We start from the raw sequence: 23,419 nt of genomic DNA on the forward strand, positions 1-23,419 counted from the left end.
TGCCTTGGCCTCCCAAAGTGCTGGGATTACAGGTGTGAGCCATTGCACCCAGCCCCAAGGCAAGATACTTCTATGTAGAAGGGTGCGCCCTTACAGATGGAGCAATGGTGGGCGCACACTTGGACAAGGGAGGAGAAAGGGTTCTTATCCCTGACGCACGTGGCCCCTGCGGCTGTGTCATTCCCCTATTGGCCAGGGTTAGACCGCACAGGCTAAACTAATTCCAACTGGCGAATTTAAAGAGAGTGATGGGGTGAGCACTTTGGCGGGAGTCCGGGCAGAGCAGGTAGCAGGTAATTGGAATGAGTTAGGGTGGAGCAGGTGATCAGAATGAGTCAGGGTGGAGCAGGTAATTGAAAAAGGTTGCTTTACGAGGAAGTTTGAAAGTAGAAGCCAAATAATTGAACATACTGACATATCCTTTGAAAATAAATGTAGAACTCTTATCTAACAGTCCCATACAAGGGAAGGCTTGTTATCTTTCGACTTTTTCATAATAGCCAACCTAACAGGTGTGAGGTGACATCTCATTGTGGTTTTGATTTGCATTTCCTTGATGATTAGTGACGTTGAGCACCTTTTTATATACCTGTTGACCATCTGTACATTTCTAGGGAGGCAGGAAGGAGGCTTTGGAAAAATCTCTGTTCAGGCTCTGTCCTCATTTTTAAATTGGGTTACTCACTTTTTTGCTATTGAGGTGAATGAGTTCCTTATATATTTTGGATATTAACCTTTTATTTGATACATGGTTTGGAAATATTTTCTCCCTTTCTGTAGGTTGCCTTTTTGTTCGCTGTGCAGAAGCTTTTTAGTTTGATATAGTCCCACTTGTTTATATCAGATCTTAATGTGACTGTGGTCAGTTCTACCCTTAATGGTTGGGTGGGCTACACTAGTAGACCCAAGTGGACTGAGGTTTAAATGCAGTAGCAGTTAAGTTTTGCTTATGTCCTGGCACTGTCCCAGTGGGTCAGCAGGCTGTCCCTCTCGGTGCGGTCTTTCGGATCCTATCTCATGGGCCTGTGTCATCTTCAGCACCTGGCTTCCGAGGTTGCACTGGGAACTCATTCCTATCAACCTGAAAAGGGAAGAGATCGTGGATGAGTTCTTCCTGGGAGTCAGGTGTATGTGGGCCGGGCTGGAGGCGGCATGTCATTTCCTCTGATGTTCCCTGGGCTGGACCCAGTTCCATGTCTGTTCCTAACTGTAGGGTGAAGGAGCATGGGGAAAAGTATTCCATGGCTGGTCTGCCTACAATGGCAGGAGAGCATTTTGTGGACAGCTGGTCATCTCTGCTGTACATACCACAAAAAGATTAGTTATTTGTGGAGTTCAAAGATACAGACAGCCTTGTCTGAGAGTTGGCAGGAACCAGACAGAGTGAGAGAGAGAGAGGTAAAGCAAGAGGGCCGGCTGGAAACCTGCCTGAAACGGGAGTCTTAGCTCCAGCAGGAGGGCTGAGTGTGGGGCAGAGTCAGCGGGGGTCCTCGCTGCACCTGTAAGCCCCGCATCCCTGCACCACACTTAGTCCTTCTCTTCTGTCACTAGGTTTTAGGAACCAGACAGCAGAGACCCCGTTCCTGGGCTGCTGGGGACAGCCAACAGCACAGGGGTCCCCAGCCTGTGGGAAAAAGAGTGATGACAGCTGAGGTGCTGGGGCAGCACCTGGCCTCCCTGCAGAAGGTGGCCAGGCAGGGCCACCCTTGGTACTGAAGCTTCGTGGACTTGACTTGGCAGTGTCTGTACAGCAGTTAAAATACTCTAAACATATTTTCTTCCTCCAGAAGTGGAAATAAATTGCAAGAAATACCCAAATCACAGGAGTTCTTATTTATTGAGCTCCTGTTGTGAACCAGGAACCCTGTGAGGTACTTTGTTCACTGAAAAGTTTTCGCAGTAAGATAGTATTATCCTCTCCCAACACACAATGCTCTGAGGCTTGGTGAGCTGCTCAGAGGTGGCAGTCCCCTAGCTCAGAGGTGGCAGTGTTCTCTCAGGCCAGTCCCTCAGGTGCCACACAACACATTTATCCCCTCCTCACATGCACTCAGACTTGGTCATCAAATTGCTCACAATTTGGGTTGCCTTTTAAGAGAGCGGAGTGCCCCTCCCCGGCCATGGCACCTGTTCCTGAAGAGCACTGGAGGGACCTGCTGAGGGGGGTTCTCAGCAGAGGGGAGATGTCTGGGCGCATGAGGCACATATGCCAGGTCCTGCTGGGGTGGAGGTACATAGACTCAGGCGGTACAGAGACTCAGGCGGTACAGACTCGGGGGTATGGAGTCTTGGGGTACGGAGACTCAGGTATGGAGACTCGGGGTATGGAGACTCGGGATAGAGACTCGGGGTATGGAGACTCAGGCACACCCCACATCCTCCCAAAAGTCAGGCTTACATTTGATTTCTAAAGGGGCAGGTGTGCGTTCCTAGGCGTAAGGGGACAGCTGGAGTGGCCGGGTGCGCCGATGCTCCGTGTGGTCCGTGGTTTCATAGAGGTTGTCTGACTCTGGTCCTGATGCTCCTCTGCCCTAAATCTGACCAAAAAGTCCTGTCGTATCTAGCAGTGGAGAAATGGCACTCGCCACAGTGAGGATTACGGTCCCCGCAGCCCTGGGAACACAGGACGGTTCCGTAGCTCTCGTTCCCAGTAAGCCTAGAGCTGGTTTTGAGTCATCAGGGCAGCCTTGCTGCTGACATCAGCCAGGCTGGCCTTGTGACCAACAAGCCCCAACCCTAGAGACAGCCAGCAGTTCACTCTGCTCCGTGAGACTGGGCCTGACTACCCACTTTCCCACAAGCAAGCAATATGTTCAGTTGTTTAGGTTTCATATATCCAGTGACATCTCTTACCTTTTTTATGTCTATATTTTAACCAATCAGTGCCCAGGATCTATACCTGAGTGAGTGATGGATTTTTAAATCTGAATGTGCCGGTTCTGTTTCCCAGTCCTTTGCCCAGCAATTATGTTTAAACAGAAGCGGGGGCTAGGGTGGAGGCCCAAGCCCTTGGGACATTTGAATCCTTCCTTGTTCCTCTAGTTGCCTGGAGACCTGCTCCCTTAGAAATCAGGGCCCTAGCAATTCAAATGATTCCTTCAAAAGGACTTATCTGGCCGGGCACAGTGGCTCATGCCTGTAATCCCAGCACTTTGGGAGGCTCAGGCAGGCGGATCACTTGAGGTCAGGAGTTTGAGACCAGCCTGGCCAACATGGTGAAACCCCGTCTCTACTAAAAATACAAAAATTAGCTGGGTATGGTGGTGGGCGCCTGTAGTCCCAGCTACTCAGGAGGCTGAGGCAGGAGAATTGCTTGAACCCAGGAGGCAGAGGTTGCAGTGAGCTGAGATCAAACCACTGCACTCCAGCCTAGGCGACAGAGTGAGACACTGTCTCAAAAAAAAAAAAAAAAAAAAAAAAAGGGGGGGGGCAGATCTTTTCCCAGTTTTTACTGGGTTTAGTGTGTAAGACCTGTGTGCATTTCTTTGCTGTAAGTTACCCTCAGGTTATCACTCGATGAGGCAAGCTGAAGGAGGGTCAGTAGCTCCCACAGAGATCATCCATTTCACCCATTAAAGAAACCCAGCCCCAGAAACACGAGGTAGATTCACCAAAGTCACAGAGCAAATTAGTGGCAGAGTCAAGATGAGGCCCTGGGTCTCCTGACCTCATCCTCACTCTGTCCTTGGTTTTCCCACGTACCAGGAAGGAAACTTGGTTTCATTATAGGCAACTTGTGAAGGTACCTTTTAAGAGCCTTTCATCTGGCTGAGAAAATTAAAAAGAAAAAAAGCAGCTTTCATATAGAAAGTAAATCAGTCAGACTTTGACGAAGTTCCATCCATAAACATATGTCTTTATTCTCTTTCTGTACATATGGGCAATGATAAAGCTTAAAGATGCATGTCCTAAGAAATATGCAAAAACAATGAATTTACATAAATAATTTATACTTCAGAAAATTAAAGTTGAAAAATATTTTCCACATTATTAGAGTTCACAGTATTTAAATCAAGCTTTCCCACTTATACTCCAGACTATATTGTCTTAGCAGAGAGTGATAAAATCTAATCAGGAATAAAATGATCAAGTTTCTGTTTTTATTCAGTGCACGAGTAGACGCTATTTCAGTATCAGGCCGCGCCAAGTGTCGAGGCTGCAGCCTCTCATCCTGACCCTTCCCCTCCTGAGTGGCTGTGACCCAGCAGAGGTCACTGGCGTGGAATGGTTACAGCGTCACCAAACCACTCCACGGTGGACACATTCAACCGAGCGGTAACATCTGGTGGTCTGATGCCTCATTTCCAAGTAATACTTTTTATAGCCCTGAAAATGGAAACCTTGGCATCTAAACAAACAGAGCTGAACATGTGAACACTAGGACAAGGCACTGTACTATGGGGTTTGGTTTCTTTATGGGAAAGGTGTTTGCATAGATTGCTAGCTATTTAGTGTGCAGGAAAACAGAGCCCCCAGCGTGCATGGCTTTGTGAGGGGTGAAGCTGCATGGTGCTCCCTCAGCCCCAAGAGAGCGCAGTCTCTCATTCTCCAGCCCCAGCCTTGTGGGCTGTCCCGCTGGTGCTGTCCTTTAGAACCCCTACAGGAGAGTTTTTTGCTCAAAAAGCTGCAGGTCAAAACGGACCCAGACCTCCCCGGTGGGGACCTCATGCAGCAGCAGTCGGCGGGTCATAGGGCCTTTGCTTTCCTGTTCTGTTCGAATTTTTGCCACTGGAATTTCAGTACGACCCAGGAAATCTGGTGAATAAACACAGGAGAGTCAGAAGTCTTTCTTCTTTATAAAATCATTAAAGAGCTACATCCGGAAGAAGTGGATTCATAAAACCTTCAAATCTGAAACAAGGAACTTCTTTTGGCTCATGGCTGTTGAATGTCGTGAGTGGGTGTGTGGGGAATGATGGCAGGTTTGTGTGTGAGAAGCTGCCACATGGAATTCAAATCTCCATTCTGAGAATGCTCCAGGAGTGGTGTTCACGTCGTGTGTGTAGGGAGTGATGGGTCAAAGACCTGAAACACATCTCAGGCCACCTCCTCCCCTGAGGAAGGCCACCCACCTGCTGCCAAAGCGAGATGACACAGGCCTGTGTCACTTCCCTGAAGTGGCATGGGGTCTGCACACAGCTGAAGCCCCTAGATCTGGACTCCAGGATCTAGGAAACTGGGAAAGCCTTTAGATCCCCTGGCTGAGCGACACTTACCATCTGGTGAAAACTGGTCTCTGTCAAACAGGGTGAGACACAGCACGTCTTGGTAGAGATCCTTAATAAAGAACTGGCAGTTAAAATTCCACTTGGGATTGAGTGTGTCCTGGATGGTCCTGGTGGTGTAGCTCTGGGAGCCCATGCTGATTTCACAGTATGGGTTGCTCTTTCCTGAACAAAAACAAACCACAGACACATGTGGTGCATGCAGGTAAAACGAAGCGACTGACAGTGCCCTCCCTGAGCAGAAGCAGGATTCCAATAATGGGTCACTCGAGACCATGGCAGCAGGAGCCGCTGCCTGGGGCACCATATCCCTGTGGTCTAGTAACAGGGTCTCCAAGTTCCCAGTGCTGACAGCAGCATTAACTGGGGAGTGGCCGAGAGCTCCACCGCCAGGACCACTCCGCACGGAACAATCCTGGGTGAGTGTCACTGCAACCTGCTGCATGCTTCCTCGGCGCAGACACACTCGGGAAGGCGGGCACTGGCACTTACTGGGAAAACAGTGATAAGAATATTGGTCCAATATGCGCATTTTAGTGGCACTGGACACACTGTTAGAAAGCATTCCTTTATTCAGTGTTCAGAAGAGTCATCAGTGGCTGGGCGCAGTGGCACTTTGTCAGTGACAAAGTGCTGTAATCCCAGCACTTTGGGAGGCCGAGGCGGGCAGATCACTTGAGGTCAGGAGTTCGAGACCAGCCTGGCCAACATGGTGAAACCCTGTGTCTACTAAAAATACAAGAATTTGCCAGGCGTGGTGGTGCACACCTGTAATCCCAGCTACTCAGGAGGCTAAGCCTTGAGAATCACTTGTACCCCAGAGGCAGAGGTTGCAGTGAGCCAAGATCGTGCCACTGCACTCCAGCCTAGGTTATACACTGAGACTCTGTCTCAAAAAGTCATCAGCAAAAACTGGGGCAGGGCAGTTATGTCTGCTGAATGAATCAAGGCAGTATTTACCATTTGGTTTGCAGGCTTTTAATTCTGTAGCTTCAATGACATGCACCATCAGGCGCCCAATGCCTGAAGTCTTTTGGGAGCGGGCTACAAAAGAGGAAGACAAGTCTCATTAATCTCTTCTCCAAGGATGCAGACCCTGTCTTTCAAACCAACCATAACACTACCGGCTCCCTGTCCCCATCTGCCACTGCCCTGGGCCCAACAGCCCAGCATCTGGCTGCCCTGTGCCTTTCCCCAGGCTGTGTTGCCTGCTAGGAAGCCCCTGCTTGCTCTTTCTGCCCTGCCTGCTTTCTCTGCCCGTCAGCATCCTACTCATCCTTCAAGATGCAGGTCTGATCCCACATCTACCTCCCAGATCCCTTCCCTCCTCTGCATCCAGTATCCCTCGCTTATGAGCAGCCCACAGCCTGCTGGGTCTGAAATCGTGTGTAATGTCTGTCTCCTCTGCCAGACAGGAGCCAGGGTAGAGCATGGACTGTTTCGATCATCCTTATATTAACCCCTCAATTGCCTAGCAAATAGTAATATTAATAAAATAATACATGGTATTTGTGCAGCACTTAATAGCAGCTAACATTTACTGGATACTTACTTTGTGTTAGGCATGTGCTAGACTTATGTAAATTATATTATTTAAACTGCATAATTACCTGATAATGTAGCTCCCCATTTTACTGATGAGAAACACTGAGGCTTAGAAAGGACTGGAGTGTGATCCACTCAGAGCTGCTAAATGGCAGGGTCAACATTTAAACATCAGATACCAAAGTCCAGGCTCAGTTAAGCCTAGCACAGAGCCTGGCACAAAGTAATTGACAAATGTGGGAAGGACTGAACGCACGGACGATGCACAGCAACATATGCAGATGCTGATGGGAAGCAAAACTCAGGCAGAAAAACCGGATTGACATCTTTGGCCAATTAAGAGATCATATGCGTTATGAAATGATCAATCATTGATTTTTCAACAGCAAGCTTTTAAAGTACCATTAAAATAACACTAAATTAGCAAAAGCTGTTTTAAACATACCTTTTAGGAGTATATAACAAAATGGGGGAAACCTGAATAAAAAAACACATAAAGAGCTGCAACTATAGCAGCCAGGAAGCTGGTGGGAGGCCCAGGCAGGAGGGCAGGCTGCATGGGGGGGCCCGGCGGGAAGGAAGGTGGAGATGCAGGGGGCCGGCGGGGAGGAAGGTGGAGATGCAGCTGGCTCAGAGCACAGGCCCCCTGTGGGGTGGAGGCCACAGGCTGGCCTGGCACAGCTGGAGATGCAGCAGGGAGGTTGGGGCCTGGCATTCATGTGGAGGCTGGAGAAGAATGTGGGAGCTCTGGTCTGAAGGCCACGGTGGGGCAGGGTGGGGTGGGGGGTGCTTTACAAAGACCATTGCGGCTCCACTGAGCAGGTGAGTGATCTGTGCCATGAACACAGAGGACATCACCGGTGCAACAAATCTGGAGCCCCACTGGCATAAGTCACATGCTGGCCCCGATGTGGGAGGGAGTTGCCTTGAGGGAGCTTATGGCCATTAAGTGAGAAAAGCAGGGACTGAGAGGGCGCAAGCAGAGGCAACAGAGGATGAGCGCCCGGAGGATGATCGCAGCCTCAGGACAGCGGGGGGTCCAGGTAGAAGTCACACTGGTTAGGGCAAGAGGGTGTCATGGAGGAGGCTGTGTTTGACGTGGGCCTTGAAGGATGGGAAGAATTTAAGGTGAGGGCAGAGCACTTGAGCTGGAGGGGGAGCTCACATGGGAAGGCCAGGCAGGGCAACAATGGGCTGCTCAACTAGGCAGCTGGATGGGCCGGGCACAGGAAAGAGCTAGGGATGGGGCTGGGTGGCAGGTAGTAGTGGGGATGGGCCCTGAGTGTGGGGTAAGAAATGTGTCGTTAATTTGGGAGGCAATAGGGAAGATACTTCAGCAGGAAGAGGTATAAGAGCAGCTCTGGAAAAAAGAATACTCCAGAAATGAAGAGGATGGGTGGCAGAGAGGAAAGAGAGCCTTGTGCTGCAGCCTGGGTGGGAGATCGGGGGCCTGTGATACGGGGACAGGAAAGGGCGATGGGAAAGTGGCGAGGGAGGAGGACTGCAGTGCAGCTGACCAGGTGTGAGGTGCCAGGGAGGGGCCTGGGTGGCCAGGGACCACACTACTGTCCACAGAGGGTCCCAGGAGGAGCTGCTGCTGGAAGGAGGCTGGTGGTCCCTTGGGAAAAGCCGATGTGTGATGTGGGAGCAGCGGGGCAGGTGGTTCTCTGGAGGGTGCTGTTCAGAGGCGCGGGCTTGGGAGAGTGTGGCTAGCCTGACCCTGAAGCTGGGGGTCGGTGGGGTCCCCGAGGGAGAGCGCTACAGAGGTCGGGGAGAGGCCTGGGCAAGGGTGGAAGAAGAACTGGGAAGGCGGCCATGGGGTCCAGAGGGAAGGCAGCGCCTCAGTGACTGCCATCAGTGCAGGGAGCTGGGGCAGGGAAAGTGAGCTGAGCCACTAACTAGGCCACTGGTGTCACTGGTGGGGACAGGACGTGGACTGAAGTCTGGTGAAGTGAGAAGGGGGAGGAGGCAGGGGCAGAAGGATGGGGAGAGGGCAGACTTAGGGTCTAGGCCCCCTGGCTGCAAAGGGAGAGGGTGGATGGCAGGCCCTAGAGGAGGGTGAGGAGGAGCAGTGGCTGCTCAGGAGCTGAAGGGAGACAGACCACAGGTGTGGCATGTAATGGAGCACCACAGCCCAAGCAGAGGTGAGGTGAGTCATGGAGAGAAAGGAGTGGAGAAGGTGCAGTGGAGTGGGGGGGATAGAGGTGGTGCAGAGAGGGAGGTCCCGGAGCTGGCACTGCCAGCCCGTGTCTGTGTGGGCAGGAGCCCCAGGGAGGTTTGCAGTAGTAGCTTCAAGAGGGGAGGGCTCTCTGGTCTGATCCCGCAGCAGGTCTGGTCTTTCAGACCCGTCCCTATATCATCAGCCTGACTGCAGGAGCAGTGGCCGGCATTCCTAGGGCCCCTGGGGGCTGCGTCCCACCCTCCGGGCACCCTGATACCTTGGTAAGCTTTCTCACGCTTCTTCTTCTCGGTGTCGATGTACTGCTCAGACGCCGCCTTGATCTTCTGCACCCAGGCGGTCCTACGGGAGAAGCAGGGGCAGCCGTTGGCCGCATCCCACCCTCACAGGTCAGCGTGGAGCCCCAGAGCTCTGCACATGTTCTTCAGTCTTTTGCTAACCTCAACTTTCACAAGTTTCCTATCAAAGACCTGATATTAGTCAACTGAAAGATGCTTATGCTAATGGAGTATGAGAGCTGGTAGTGACCCTTCTTGGCTGACCACAAAATGCCAGGCACTCGCAAGGCGCTGGGACCTGGAGACAGATGATGCATTGGCCCCACGGATGATACCTGTCACGAGGGGTTCTAGCGCACACAGAGGAGCAGCAGCACCCCCCGGGTTGGCGCCGCGGAGGCACTGTTGGAGCTGCAGCCTGAAGGAAGCTGGGAACAGCGGGGATGGCACCCACACAAGGGCGCCTGAGGGGCGAAAGTCTGCAGGTGGAGGGACGAGGGCTGAGGCCTGTGGCCCAAGGAGGCCTCGGAAACCAGCAAAGCACAGTGGGCTGTCGCCTGCGGGCAGCCCCTGCAGGGACTGTAGCAGGGCCTCAGGTGCTGATCTGCCATTTGGGAAGGCTGCTGAGTGGTGTGGGGAGAGACTAGAAGCCGGGAAGCATGTTAGGAGGCAGCTGCAGTGACCAAGGCCTACCATGGGACTGGAGCAGAGGGGATGTGTTAAGAGAGGTTCAGGATACAGAATTAGTGGGGCTTAAGCACGGCTGGAGATGGGTTTATGGCAGAGGGAGACGTCCAGGCCTTCTCCCAGAGTTCAAGGCAGGCCACACATGGTCAGGACTGACCTCTCATTAATGTTGTCTGTTCGGAGGGTGTAGACCCGATCAATGTGGGAAATGTGGAAGACAGGCTCATCGCTGGAAGGGTCTGTGGGCAGTTTCACCAAGACTTCATTCAGGAAAATGGGCTGAAAGAATTAGGGCCAAAACACAGGCTGTGAGATGGGCTAGAACACTCCACCCGCCTATGTCCAGAGAGAGTTCTGTTTGTTCTGAAGAGCCTTGTTGAGAAGGAGAAAGGGGTCTAGCGTCTAAGGTCTTCTACACAGAACAAATGAAACCTCCATTTGTAAGAACAATGAAGCCTCCATTTCTGGAAAAGTCATTATCGAGGTGGGTCAGGTGTTGGGACTGGGTGGGGACAGGAGCTCCAAGCGCCCATGACGGCTGGTGCAAAAGGCTCTCTGCTAGCAACGCTGGTGCTGTGCTGGGGCTCGGCTTACAGAGACCCAATGCTGAATGCACACAGTGGTGAGCCCAGGTGTCACGCTGGCCAGGAGGAAGCCAGAATCTCAGCTGGAATCTGGCTGATGGCCTGTGGCAGGTGGGGAGTGCCCAGCTGCATGGGGCCCTTCCCGTGGGAAGCAGCAAAGGAAGCACGAGCGATCTGGAACCAGGTGAGGAGGGTCCCGTAAGGCCAGCTCAGGGTCTGCCAGGAAGGCCTTAAGATAGAGGCAACACCTCATTAGGCCCCTGATGCTACCCCCAGACGCGTGATACTCACCGTTTTATACATTTTGAATTGAGCATTGGACTTCGAGCTGAAAAGTTTCTCAGAGCCAGAGGAAACAGCAAACTGCTTGACCATGTAGGTAAGAAGCAGGAAGTCATTGAAGAGGAATCCGTGCAGTTCCTTGTTGCTCTTGGTCTTGTATAATTTCCCACTGTGTAAGAGCTTCCGGGGCCCCAGGCAGTTGGTGAGAGAGTTGAAAATAAGTTGCTTAAAGAGAAAGAAAATTTCACTTTTTAAATCCCGGCACAAACCATCCAGTGCCCCTGAGAGGCCAGTGCCCTGGGCCTGAGGATACTGTGGTGGAGTTTTCTAGGTGGGAATGTGGCTAGAATCATTCACTTTGCATGAAAGATCCTTAAATACATTACTCTTCAGAGTCCAAACTGGCCCAGTGAAAATCATTACTTCTAGCCACAGAACACTGATTCTACCAGCTGAATTCAAAGAACTCAAAACAAAAAATCCCAGTGTTCTCTCCTTAGGAGAAAGGAAGATGACAATCCAAGAAGGAATGCCCTTCATGCCTGCAATCCCAGCACTGTTGGGAGACAGAGGCGGGAGGATCACTTGACGCCAGGAGTTCAAGACCAGCCTGGCCAACATGGTGAAACCCCAGCTCTACTAAAAATACGAAAATTAGCTGGGCATCGTAGCAGATGCCTGTAGTCCCAGCTACTTGGGAGATGGAGGCCAGAGAATCGCTCCAACCCGGGAGGCAGAGCTTGCAGTGAGCCGAGATGATCTCGCCACTGCACTCCAGCCTGGGCAACAGAGTGAGACTCCGTCTCAAAAAAAAAAAAAAAAAAAAGAAAAAAAAATGCCTTTGCAGGGGCAGGGTGGTGAGTCCACGCAGGCTGCCTAAGGTGCAGACTGTCCACGTGAGGGAAGGCTCGGAGCTGGTTCCCCACCCAGAGCCTCCCTGGAGGCGCACGGCTTAACCACACAGGCCTGACCTCCGCGAGGCCTTCACACTGCACGTGCGCCTGGATCCACTCCAGTCGGTCCGAGTTTTCCTTCTCCCGAACTCCCTCATTCACTTGAGAGCACAGCTCCTCTGCCCGCTCGAGGGCCAGCTTTAGGGAGGAATGGTCTGCATGGCTCTCCGGGGTGTTCTCCAGAATCTGGAAAAGAGTGGGCAGTGTCACATGGGGGAGCTGCGTCTCTCACCTGCCCACCTGGACCTTCGCAGGACCGCTCCTCCAACCCCATGTTATGGACTGCTTCCATGCCCTGGAAACGCGGCGGTGAACAAGACGACACTTTCCGCCCTTGAGAAACTCGTACTCCCACAAGTTCTTGGGGACACAGGGACAGGTAACGCTGCTGTGACAAGGTGACAGTGCTAAACGGATCAAGTGCTCTGAACTGTGTGGGTCTCTGGTTGCTCTCCGACTGGCTCCCGGTAATAGGCGGGAGCCTCCCGACTCCTTCCGAAATTTAAGCCATGTAAGGGTGCGCCCTCCTGTATAAACTGGCTGCAGCTGTGGTAAGTGTGAACTTGCTGAATAGCAATGGTTCATAACAATTTTGGGGTCACTGATCCTTTTGAAAAAAATCTGATGAAAGCAATGACTCCCATGCCACAGGAAAAATACAATAAAATCACATTGTCAGCATGTGGAAGAAATGCATTCTGTTCATTCTGAAGCGATTTCAAACGACGCATGCTGCAACTGTGAACGCGCAGAGGCCAGAATACAAACGTGTGTGGTCCCTCCAGAAATTAGGAGCCATCACCAGATGCCCCGTCTGGACTCTCTCACTCTAGTCAGATGAGTGCACAGTCCTTCATTTACAATTCTAAAATGCAGAACAGCCTGAGAGCCTAAAGTTTTTATTCAGTACCCATTTGGTGGCAAAATCTGACCTAAACAGAAGAGATATATTTACTTACTCTTACAGTGATTGTTCTTATGTTCCACTGTAGGAATATTAGTGTGTCTGGTTGTAAGTGCTACCCTAAGGCTCAGTTGAGGAGTCATATATTATATGGTATTTGAGCTACATTCCGAATTCTGAAACACATCTGGCCCCAAGTATTTCAATGAAGGGGCTGTGAACCTGCATTATGGTTCAGTTTAGTGCAGGCGTCTATCACATGAGGTCTATGTTGAGGTCACACAGCTAACAGACCAAAAGTCAAGGAATCATCAATAGAAGTAACAAGCTTATCATATTCCTGCTGCTTTTCTTTGTAAGTTACTGTAATCAATGGTTAATCGTGGGATAATCTTTTGTAAAGTCTGCCTTTTCCTTAGAAGGCTTATGGGCTCAAGAGGGCCCTATTGCTTATCAAAAAGAAAGCTGGAAGGAATTTTAGAAGGAATGTTGAAGCCGAATACAGCGAGGGACACAAATGAACTCTATTTATGATGTGCCAAGTGGAGCCTCCTGGGACATCTAGGAAAGGTGTTCAGGGTGGATGGAGGCAGATCTCAGAGGAAAGACTGGAGTCTAAGGTTACTCTGGTCTTTCTCTGGGTTCAAGATGGGCTCCACAACTGGAGACCTAGAGGGGCCTTTCCCTGCCTGGACAAGTATACTTATGACTTTGAGATGCTGGGGAGTTTCTTGAAAGGTGGGTGACAGGTTACCCAAGTGATACTGGATTCCTCTCTGATTTGCCCACTTCAAGGATTCAGCGTGTTTCTGTGCACACACACACACAGGCATCTGGTCCCCGGGACAGTGGGATCACTTGTGCGGTGTCACACTGTGTGCAGGGTGAGGTGGCATGCTCAGGGCTCCCTGAGGATCTGGCCTCTGTGGACCTCAGCGCATCCTGCTCCTAACTCAGACCCCACTGCCCGGCCTGCACACTCACACTTCTGATGAGCAGTGGGTAGCGGGTGATCCTCTGCATGGGTTTCAGCAGGAAGCTGGAGAGGGGCATTCCTTTACACCGCGGGTCAGATGCCAGCTTCTGCAAAACAACAGTGAGGCTCGTGAGGAAATCACAGCTCCGATCACAGGAAGCACTGGTCTTTGATCGCCTTTTAGATTTCACATTTCTTTTATTTATTTATGTTTCTCCCTGTCTTACTGTTTTAGAATTTTTTTTAGGTGAGTGTTCTATTTTTTATTTTTATTTTAAAATTTGTGTATATTCACAACATACAAGTGTAATTTTGCTACACTGATATGTCGCACTGTAGTAAAGTGAGGGGGCTTCGACTTTCTTTTAAATAACTCAGGATCTAAAATGATACCTATTAGGTTCACAGTAGGAATATCTCAGCTCATGTGCCAAGCCCAGCGGATGCTCCTCAGCTCTTTCCCATGACCTGTGCTGGGACTGTCCCCTGCCCTCTCTTCTCGGAGCTGATTCACACTTGACCCTCAAGACTCAGGCCCTGCTTCCCCTTGTCCAGGCTCTCCCCTGGGACACCTTCCCTCCTTTCCATGACCCTCCCTGGCCACCTTTAGCATACACCACATGTGCACCAGGTGATACAGGGAGAGGCATCGTGTTGCAGTGTCTCTATTCCACACCCGATTTGTGAACGCCAGGCCCAGGGCCCACATCCTACTTGCCTCTACCCCTAGCTCTGGTACACTGCCTGAAGACAGCAGCTGCTGCTCTAGGATGGCAGCTTTTAATGACTGAAAAGTACACTCACTGTAATCCACCTCATCATTTCCCCACTACTGGATATTTAAATTGCCCCCCTTTTGTTTTGGCCGTATCTATATAGGTTGCTGTCACAAGCATCTTCGTGCTTCTTATTTCCATATTTTCTGAGTCTTTTTAAAAAGTAACATTTTAGAACACAGCTTATTGCTAGATTTTGCTTTTTAAGGTAACCTATAGCAGGCCTTTCATGAGGCAGTATTTTTATTTATTTTGACTACTGTTACAATTGTGATGACTTTGAAATCCTATTTACATCATTATTTTAAAACATGCACATATACTAACAATTCTCAGTTTATCTCATTATTCTGATGAATGTTTAATTCTATGGTCTTGGTTTCCATGTTTCTTCCAGTTCATTTCGAGGCAACTCCCTGCCTCCTACCCTTATCACAAATCGAAGGGCTCTGTCCTCACTGCCTTATATTGAATCATTTTTGCATCCCTGAGATCATCGTAAGGAAAAATACGATAATCATTTATTGAATGCTAATAGTAATGTGTTGGTCTCTGAGTTAAAGTCCTTTAAAAGTACTGTGTGATAATCTCCTTTTATAGATGAGGGGACTGAAGGCACCCACATGTTAAATAACTTGCCTCTGGTCACACAATTAGACAGTGACGGGGCCGAGATTCTGAAGCCTGTCTTGTTCTAAGCATAGTATGCTATAGCCTCCTGAGATAATCCTATTTGGTTATGATAGGCTCTTCTTTTCATGTAATGCTTAATTTTATGAATTGTTACTTTAATTAAGAGTTTAACAGCTGTATTTGTAAATGATAGTGGGTTTTAACTTAAACAGGCCTTGGAATCATGGCTACTTTTGCTTTATAGAATGAATTAGGTGACCTTTTTACTTTTTCCTATGATCTGTAACAGTTTGTATAATATAGAATAATCTGTTCCTTTAGAGTTGGAGAGAATTCCCTGTTAAATCCATCAAGTGAACCCAGCTCCTTTTTGGGGTAAGTTTCTCAATTTTCTCCTTGGTGTATAGTATCGTAATAGTAAGATTTTCTATTTTTAAAAGATTTTCTATTCTTATTGAGCCAGTTTTCAAGTTTTAATAGAAAATTACAAATTTTGTTCATGTTTTCACATTTGTTAGCATGTCTTTTGGAATTACATGCACTTTAATTTAAGAGATCTCCTTACATCCATTCTGTTACTTGTGTTTTTTCCTCTTTCTCTATTAGATTCATCAGTTACATTTTATTACCTCTCTTCAATATAACAGTTCTTGGATATATTGATATAATTTGTGCTTTTTACCTTTATTACTTCCTCCATTTTCCTTTTCTAATTTCTATTCTCTGCCTAAACATCTTTATATTTTATTCTTACTTTCTACTCTTTTCTGATAATGAAAATATTTAAATTATATACTCTCCTTAAGTACTGATATGGCTGTTTAATATATCCCAATATGCAGTATTTCATGAACAAAAAAACCCAACAGGAAATATGAAAAAAAGCAAGAAAACAGATTTTACTTTCAATTTCCTCACCATTTTAACAGGTATAATAATAGTTTCTACTACTGAACAACATCAATGCAAATAACTTCTCAAAATATGACTTTCTATTATAATAACCTGTACGAAGGATGTTGTTGACTCATTACATTATACACAGTGTTCTCTCTCTGAGTACAGCTGTAGCTTTACTTCTCATGTTTAACTTGTGACGTGGCATCACGGAACTGATCCTTTCTTCTTCTGCTCATCAGTTTCTGGAAGCTTTGATGACATCTGTGCACACTTCTGGTATATTTACAGGATCACAGATATGCATTTTATATATTATCCTAATTCCTGGTATCGTCTTTGTTTCCTACTCTCATTTCCTTTTGTCCAAGTTTATTCATCTAGTTATTTTAAATTTTATCTTGTTGCATTTTATATATTTGAGTAAGCTATTTTAGGGCCGGGCACGGTGGCTTACACCTGTAATCCAAGCACTTTGGGAGGCCAAGGTGGGCCGATCACCTGAGGTCAGGAGTTCGAAATCAACCTGGCCAACATGGTGAAACCCCGTCTCTACTAAAAATACAAAAATTAGCCAGGCGTGGTGGCACATGCCTGTAATCCCAGCTACTTTGGAGGCTGAGGTAGGAGAATCTCTTGAACTTGGGAGGCAGAGGTTGCAGTGAGCCAAGATCATACCACTGCATTCCAGCCTGGGCAACAGAGCAAGATTCTGTTTAAAAAAAAAAAAAAAAAAAAGAGTAAGCTATTTTATACTCTTTCTGGAATAAGGCAGGTATTAAATGAAGGCAATTTACAAAATTAAGAAAGTGACATTCTGGTTGTTTCTTGGGAGTATAAAGTAGCTGATAAGTAAGTATGCTTAAAAAAAAACACTCTGCTATCAGATGGGGAAAAAATGATGGTCCCAGTGCCAGGAAAAAATCAGGTCTACATAAAGGCAACACAAAACAATCGGAAAATTCTCTGCCGTTTTGGTGTTTCCTTTGGAAACTGATGGGGATGCCCTTCTCCATTGCTGGGATTCCCTGTTGGGCTACTGTGTGCTGTTGCCTCCAGCCTCAGAAGGAGCCTGACCCGCAAGGCCCAGAATGGAATTACCTTTAAAAATTCTTTGAAATCTGTGTCTTCATCTGTCTTCTGCTGTAACAGAGCTGCTCCATTAAGCTGGCAGCTGCAGAACCTGATGTAAGCCTGCATGTGGGACAGCTCAGCGGCCAGGATGTCCCCAATCATCTGCACCGGCATCTTCTCGCCCCCGGTCTTCTTCCGCACCCGCAAAGCCCTGCCAAGAACACACTCTCATTTTGTGTTTCTAAGTGAATGACTTAGGTAATTAAAGGATGAATCCCATGGCAGACCAATGGTAATGATAACCAGTGAGCTACCTAAGAACCTCTGGCACTGGGAAGGAGAACTCAAGAGGAAGAGGAGATAGCTTGGGCCAAAAGCTCTGCTGGTCAAGCCAACCGGGGTGTGATGTCAGCAAAGAAAAAAAAAGTAAATAAAGTCCCTGCAGTTGGGTGGGCTGGGCACGGTGGCTCATGCCTCTAATCCCAGCATTTCGGGAGGCCGAGGCAAGAGGATTGCTTGAGCCCAGGAGTTCGAGACCAGCTTGGGCAACATAGTGAGACCCTGTCTCTACAAAAATGAAAAATTAGCTGGGCATGGTGGTGCACGCCTGTAGTTCCAGCTACTCCGGAGGCTGAGGTAGGAGGATTGCTTGAATCCAGGAGTTCAAGTTGGGTGCAGTGAGCTACGATCACACCACTGCACTGCAGCTTGGGTGACAGAGTGAGACCTTGCCTCTAAAAATAATAAAAATAAAAATAAATTTAAAAAATACACACCTGGGTAGCTGGGCATGGTGGCTCACGCCTGTAATCCCAGCACTTTGAGAGGCTGAGGTGGGTGGATCACGAGGTCAGGAGATTGAGACCATCCTGGCTGACACAGTGAAACACCATCTCTACTAAAAATACAAAAAATTAGCCGGGCGCAGTGGTGGGCGCCTGTATCCCAGCTACTCGGGAGGCTGAGGCAGGAGAATGGCGTGAACCCGGGAGGCGGAGCTGGCAGCGAGCCGAGATCGCGCCACTGCACTCTAGCCTGGGTGAGAGAGCGAGACTCCGTCTCAAAAAAAAAAAAAAAATTAGCCAGGTGTGGTGGTGGGTGCCTGTTGTCCCAGCTACTCGGGAGGCTGAGGCAGGAGAATGGTGTGAACCCAGGAGGCGGAGGTTGCAGTGAGCTGAGACTGTGCCACTGCACTCCAGCCTGGGCGACACAGTGAGACTCCATCTCAAAAAAAAAAAAATACACTTGGGTGTTTCAAGGCCTTTAGAATTGTTTTGGTTTCACCTTAGCTTCTTGGCAAAGTTTCTTTTGAAAGATTCTAACTTGTTCTTGGTTGAACCAAGAAGGAAATTTTCAGTCTGTAAGAGAAAAAAGGGAGCAGGAGCTGCAGGGGCCAGGTGTGGAGGCAGAGAGGCACTATCCCTGAGGGAAGCTGGGACTGCTCATCCTCCCTTGGGGGGCCTGTCCTCACAGCCACGAAGGATGGAAAATCACCCCAACAGTAGAACTTCACATGGGGATAGAGACTTAGGAGGCCACCAAACTAGGCAGTTTTATCTGCGCCGTGAGCTGCAGCTCTCCTCTGACTCTTCTGCCCTGCCAGGGTCAAGGACATCTTATATCTTGGAATCATAGATTGATATGTTGTTTAATGATTTAATTTTTTCTTTATCAAAATATTTTGTTATATTTCTTTACTTTCTTCAATACTTATGTATTTTACAGTCACAGGATATTTCATAAAATGATAATAAAATAACAAGCCTGAGGAAGCAGAAAGCAGTTGAAGTTCCTTTGCTAAGAAGCCCTTGCAGAGGGTTTTGTGTGAGTCTCAGTCTGGGGGCTTTGGGGTCAGCGGCAATGACAGGTGATGCTCAGGACTCACTTCAGCAGCTTTGTGTTGGACATGATGAGCTCCTTCCAGTTAACAAAAATCAGGGCCATCTCCCCTTCAGTGAGAAAGCCTGACTCTGCCATGCGTTTCTGAAAAACCTAAAGTCAAAACATAGAAAAACTAGTTAGCTTAAGTGTGGATACACAGCCTACGTGTGGTCTAAATCAAACAATGTCTTCATAAACTGAAACTAATCAGATCAAATAATGTCAACATAAACTGAAGCTAATCATCCAAATAAGCATACTTATGACACATTTTATACTGCATAATGTTCTTTCTTTTTGCTAGTGCAGCTCTTATCAAGGCTAGTTCCAAGGACTGAATCTAGTAATCTGGTTAAGAGGAGATTTTCAGATTTCTCTCTTAGGGATGTTATGAAGGTTAAATAAAGCCATGGGCATGAACACCTAGGCACTGTACAAGCTTGCAGGATTGAGGAAGCAGGCCATTGTTAGGTGGAGCATCGTAGAGTTCTAGACAACAATTTGTGAGACATTCAACAGGAGAACCAGAGTAACAACTTATGCCACCCCTAAGATAACTCTAAGCAGATGTGGGTTTTAGAAGTTGGCTGCTGAGGGAGAAATAGTAATACTCTACATCTGTATTACATAGCACTTAAGGATTTACAAAGCACTGATATGTACAAATATGCAGATGCTTGTGTGTGTGTACACACACGCGTGTGTGTTTGCAGGGTTCTCAAGTAGCTTCACGGGTGATGGAGGCGAAGCTGAGTCAGGTATTATTATTACCAATTGACCTATGAAGAAATAAAGGCTTAGAGGGAGACTTGCTCAAGATCACAAAGACAGAATATGAAAGGCCTAGGACTAAAATTCAGCTCTTTTTGATTCTAAATCTAAGTTTCAACTGCATAACTGAGATTCCTAGGGAATGACTTTAAACACCTTAAGGAAATAGAGAAGTTACCTGAGACACTCTTCTCATATGTCATCTTTCCAAAATGCCCATGACATGCTGCTATTAGAATCACTCAAAGCTCTCCACTGTCCGTGTGATAAGACACAGACTCCTCCTGGAGGTTCCAGGGCCTATGAGACCTGCCCCCTGCCAACCTCACCAGCCTGGCCCTCAGCTACTTCACACTCCAGTCACCCTGGATGGCCTGTAGGCCCCTGACTCCCTCCATACATGCCATCCCACTTCTGTTTCCTCCTCCTGGAGTAGCAAACTTGTCCTTGTCCAAAACATAACTGGGAAAGTTCTTCCTGGCTGGGGTGGTCACTAACCCCAGGTTTCAGCCTTACTGGCCCCACTGTACCTCTCTCCATCCAACAGGACTCTGAATTCCTGGAGGACAAGAACTTTCTTTCATCTCTGTTCTCTGGCATAGCCCTTTGCACATCGTGGTTTGTAATTCATGTTTACAGAGTTGAGTTGAACATGGATTCACAGAATTCAAGTACAAGTGCTGGGCACTCTCTAAAGAGAGTTTTACAGTTCCAAATCAGACTGAAGACACTAGGCCACTCCTGTGAGAGCAGCCCTGGAAAGACGGCCGGCCTGCTCGGAGGCTGCTATGGAGGGACAGGGAAGAGTCTGGCTGTCCATCTGTTTGTTTATTTGCTGATTCATTCATGCCCCTCTAGCCATCCATGTAGCTGCTTTGTGCCGGGCTTGGTGAGGTAAGCAGATGGGAATAAGCTGGTCAGGCCTCTGGGAACCTTCATGAGGATGGTCATAAGAAGGCCTCACCTGTGAATGGTGCTTTTCACCCAGAATCCTGGACCCAGACCTGATGCTTCACTCCTCAGAGTATGGGGCAAGCACCCGGTGCCTGCTCACCTCTGTCCTAGTGTTAGGGAGACCTCCACACCTACTTACAGTGCCTTAGGACTGGAATCTGACCAGCAGCAGGGCTGATCCTTGTAGGGGATTAATCAAAATGATGGGCTTTTCTTCTAGGCCATCTATCCTGGCCAGAGAGGTGCAGACATAAACACACCCAATTCACTGACTACTTATGGAAAGGCCGACCAAGGGCCAGGCTAAGTTTTGGGAACACAGGATGAAGGCTGCACGGTCCCTGTTCTCAGTGAGCCCACAGGCGTGCAGTGAAGATAGATATCACCAACCGAGAAGTGCCATATAGTTTGCATGGGAGGGGAACAAGTATTCCATGTCTGGATATCCCAGGCATTAGGCCTGCGTTTAAGGTGGAGAGTGAATCCAGGGCAGGGCTTGCTGGGGAACAGACGCAGAAGGACGCAGCCTCTGCTCCATTCAGCTATGAAAGGCATGGCCAGGTATACGCTGCACCTGTTGGGTGTGTGGGGGTAGGGGACGCCTGTTCTTTTCAGGTGGTTTGTTAATGTAACTGGTCTTCTCACCTGAGGGCCTGTACACTGGGAACTGAAAGGCATGGAAACAAAGGTATAGTAGAAATGGAAAGTCTTCTTTTGTTCACTCAAGCACAAATCATTTTAAAGTGCTACTCGAATAAGGATAGCTGTCATCAGCGTAGAGGTCACTGGTATAAACAAACAGTAGCTATATGATATTTGGGAACTATTTTACAATATGCTCCCATTGGGTTTTCCAAACTGATACAACCATGAGGTGAACACTTTCACTGTTTCACAGTTCCTCCAGAGATACCAGTTTATGAAAATGTCAGATGTTAAAACAGATATTAGGCAAATATCCAAGGAAGCTACGGTCTGCCATAGGCCCTTCCCATCCACTCTATCCCCGTCCTTCCTTGATGGGGCTCCTGCCACATCCAACGAAGCCATGCGAATGCCCTCTTGTTCTCCCGCTTCACTCTGAGTGACCTCATCTGGGGGAAAGAGCTCATTAGAGACTTTCAATCTCAAGCATTATCCGGCAGGCAGAGACAGCATTTGGAGGATGTGAGAGCTTCCGTCACTATTTGTGAATTCACACATCAAAAGTGATGCCTTGCTTTGACTCTGCGTGGAGGCAGCCCTGAGTCTGATGCCCACCATCTCTCATGAGAGACAGCAGATACCCCGAGAGCTAGCCAGCAGCAGCCTCCTCACCTCGACGACGAGCTGAAGGTCAGCCATGTACCGCTCTTCGGTCTGAATCAGCTCATGAATATAGCCCTGTCTTTTCCTCTCAATTGGCTGCATTGTGTCCAGGGTTTGCAGATCAGCACACCCTGTGGAAAAAACAGGGTAGTTTAAAATATTACTTTAGTCAACTTTGTAGAAAATAGACATTTGTCAGCAGATGTGCTGGGTTTACAAATGCTGCTTTGAAAGAATGACGCAGCCTTAAAAAGGACGCTGCTAACTTCTGCAGAGCAGCATGCGTACGCGGAGAGTTGGCATTAATGAGCCGGCACTCACAGCTCCAAAGTGGCAAATCAGCAATGTCTGTAACATTTCAATGTGCTCCTAATTTCTTTTCAGAACTGTGCAGAGCGTGTGAAGAATCTCACCACCTCAAGACATTTTTCGAAGTTACTGAAATGATTAAATGAATCAGATGCTTCAGACCACTCCAAACTGCAGGTCATGAGCCATTAGTGGGTCATTATATCATTTTGGTTTTAAAATGCTGGTCAGGCCCAGCATTAAAAAATAAATAAATAGAAATTACCATGCATATGGCTTTGGTAAATATTGTGAAATGTTTAGTTATGTATGTATTCGAAATGTAAAATGTATTTCTCACTGTGAGCTACTGTTAAAAAAATGTTTGAGAAACAGTCTCTAGATTTCTTAAAGGAAAGTTCTAAGGTTATAAAACCTGAAATTCCCAGATCCCAGCAATTCCCAGAAGACCACTGCCTCATCTCACTAGAACAAATAACTCCTGGTACACTGCAGATATCCAGCCACAAATGACAGGAAAGTCACAAGCAACCTTGCATCAGGGTGAGAGGTACTGCATTCACTATGGATCAATTCACAGGCACATCACAGCTGAACTAGATGTCAAACTATGAAGTGACATAATTCCAGAGTCACTTAACAAGTAGCTGAGGGCTTGCCTATACACAGTGATGTGGCGAAATACCTCAGGAAACCCTTCTTAGAAAAAAAAGCAAAAGCAGCCGGGCATGGTGGCTCACACCTTTGGGAGTAATCCCAGCACTTTGGGAGGCCAAGGTGGGTGTATCACGAGGTCAGGAGATCGAGACCATCCTGGCTAACACGGTGAAACCCCGTCTCTACTAAAATTACAAAAAATTAGCCAGGCGTGGTGGTGGGCGCCTGTAGTCCCAGCTACTCAGGAGGCTGAGGCAGCAGAATGGTGTGAACCCAGGAGGTGGAGGTTGCAGTGAGCCGAGATCGCACCACTGCACTCCAGCCTGGGCAAAAGAGCAAGACTTCATCTCCAAAAAAAAAAAAAAAAAAAAAAGCAAAAGCAGTGGAAGTTGTCAGAATCAAAATGGAGTCACTTGTGTTAAAAATCCTGACAAAGGGCCAGGGAAGGCCATGAAGAGAGAGTTCTCATCCATGAATACTTGATAACTAGAACTATCACAAAAGACTGCAAAACCACAAACTTACATAAAGGCCATGGTGACCTGA

The 23,419-nt window shown here is 48.1% G+C and overlaps 1 protein-coding gene across 17 annotated transcripts in view, besides 1 other annotated feature; it reads right to left on the reverse strand.

The window, feature by feature from the left end:
• ITSN2 (intersectin 2) overlaps window positions 3,836–23,419 on the reverse strand; it is a 158,505-nt gene continuing 138,921 nt past the window's right edge. For 15 of the 17 annotated variants that reach the window (XM_047444586.1, XM_047444582.1, NM_001348182.2 and 12 more), the window contains 11 exons: window positions 21,917–22,038; window positions 18,879–18,985; window positions 17,021–17,204; window positions 13,622–13,720; window positions 11,752–11,919; window positions 10,790–11,005; window positions 10,072–10,193; window positions 9,209–9,291; window positions 6,186–6,269; window positions 5,217–5,390; window positions 3,836–4,755 (listed from right to left, as the gene is read on the reverse strand). In XM_047444586.1, coding sequence (XP_047300542.1) covers window positions 4,598–4,755; window positions 5,217–5,390; window positions 6,186–6,269; window positions 9,209–9,291; window positions 10,072–10,193; window positions 10,790–11,005; window positions 11,752–11,919; window positions 13,622–13,720; window positions 17,021–17,204; window positions 18,879–18,985; window positions 21,917–22,038 — 1,517 coding nt within the window. In that variant the 3' untranslated portion in view covers window positions 3,836–4,597. Of the gene's footprint in view, window positions 4,756–5,216; window positions 5,391–6,185; window positions 6,270–7,215; window positions 7,248–9,208; window positions 9,292–10,071; window positions 10,194–10,789; window positions 11,006–11,751; window positions 11,920–13,621; window positions 13,721–17,020; window positions 17,205–18,878; window positions 18,986–21,290; window positions 22,039–23,419 lie in introns of those variants that run through there. The other 2 variants (XM_047444587.1, NM_147152.3) reach the window with 2 other exon arrangements.
• Window positions 16,070–16,139: an enhancer, noted in NCBI's record as "active region_15429". NCBI's record gives its function as "activates an Ori minimal core promoter by ATAC-STARR-seq in GM12878 lymphoblastoid cells {active_cell/tissue: GM12878}" and the evidence as "EXISTENCE:reporter gene assay evidence [ECO:0000049][PMID:35858748]".

This window comes from Homo sapiens, chromosome 2 (genome assembly GCF_000001405.40).
Source record: "Homo sapiens chromosome 2, GRCh38.p14 Primary Assembly".
NCBI lineage: Eukaryota > Metazoa > Chordata > Mammalia > Primates > Hominidae > Homo > Homo sapiens.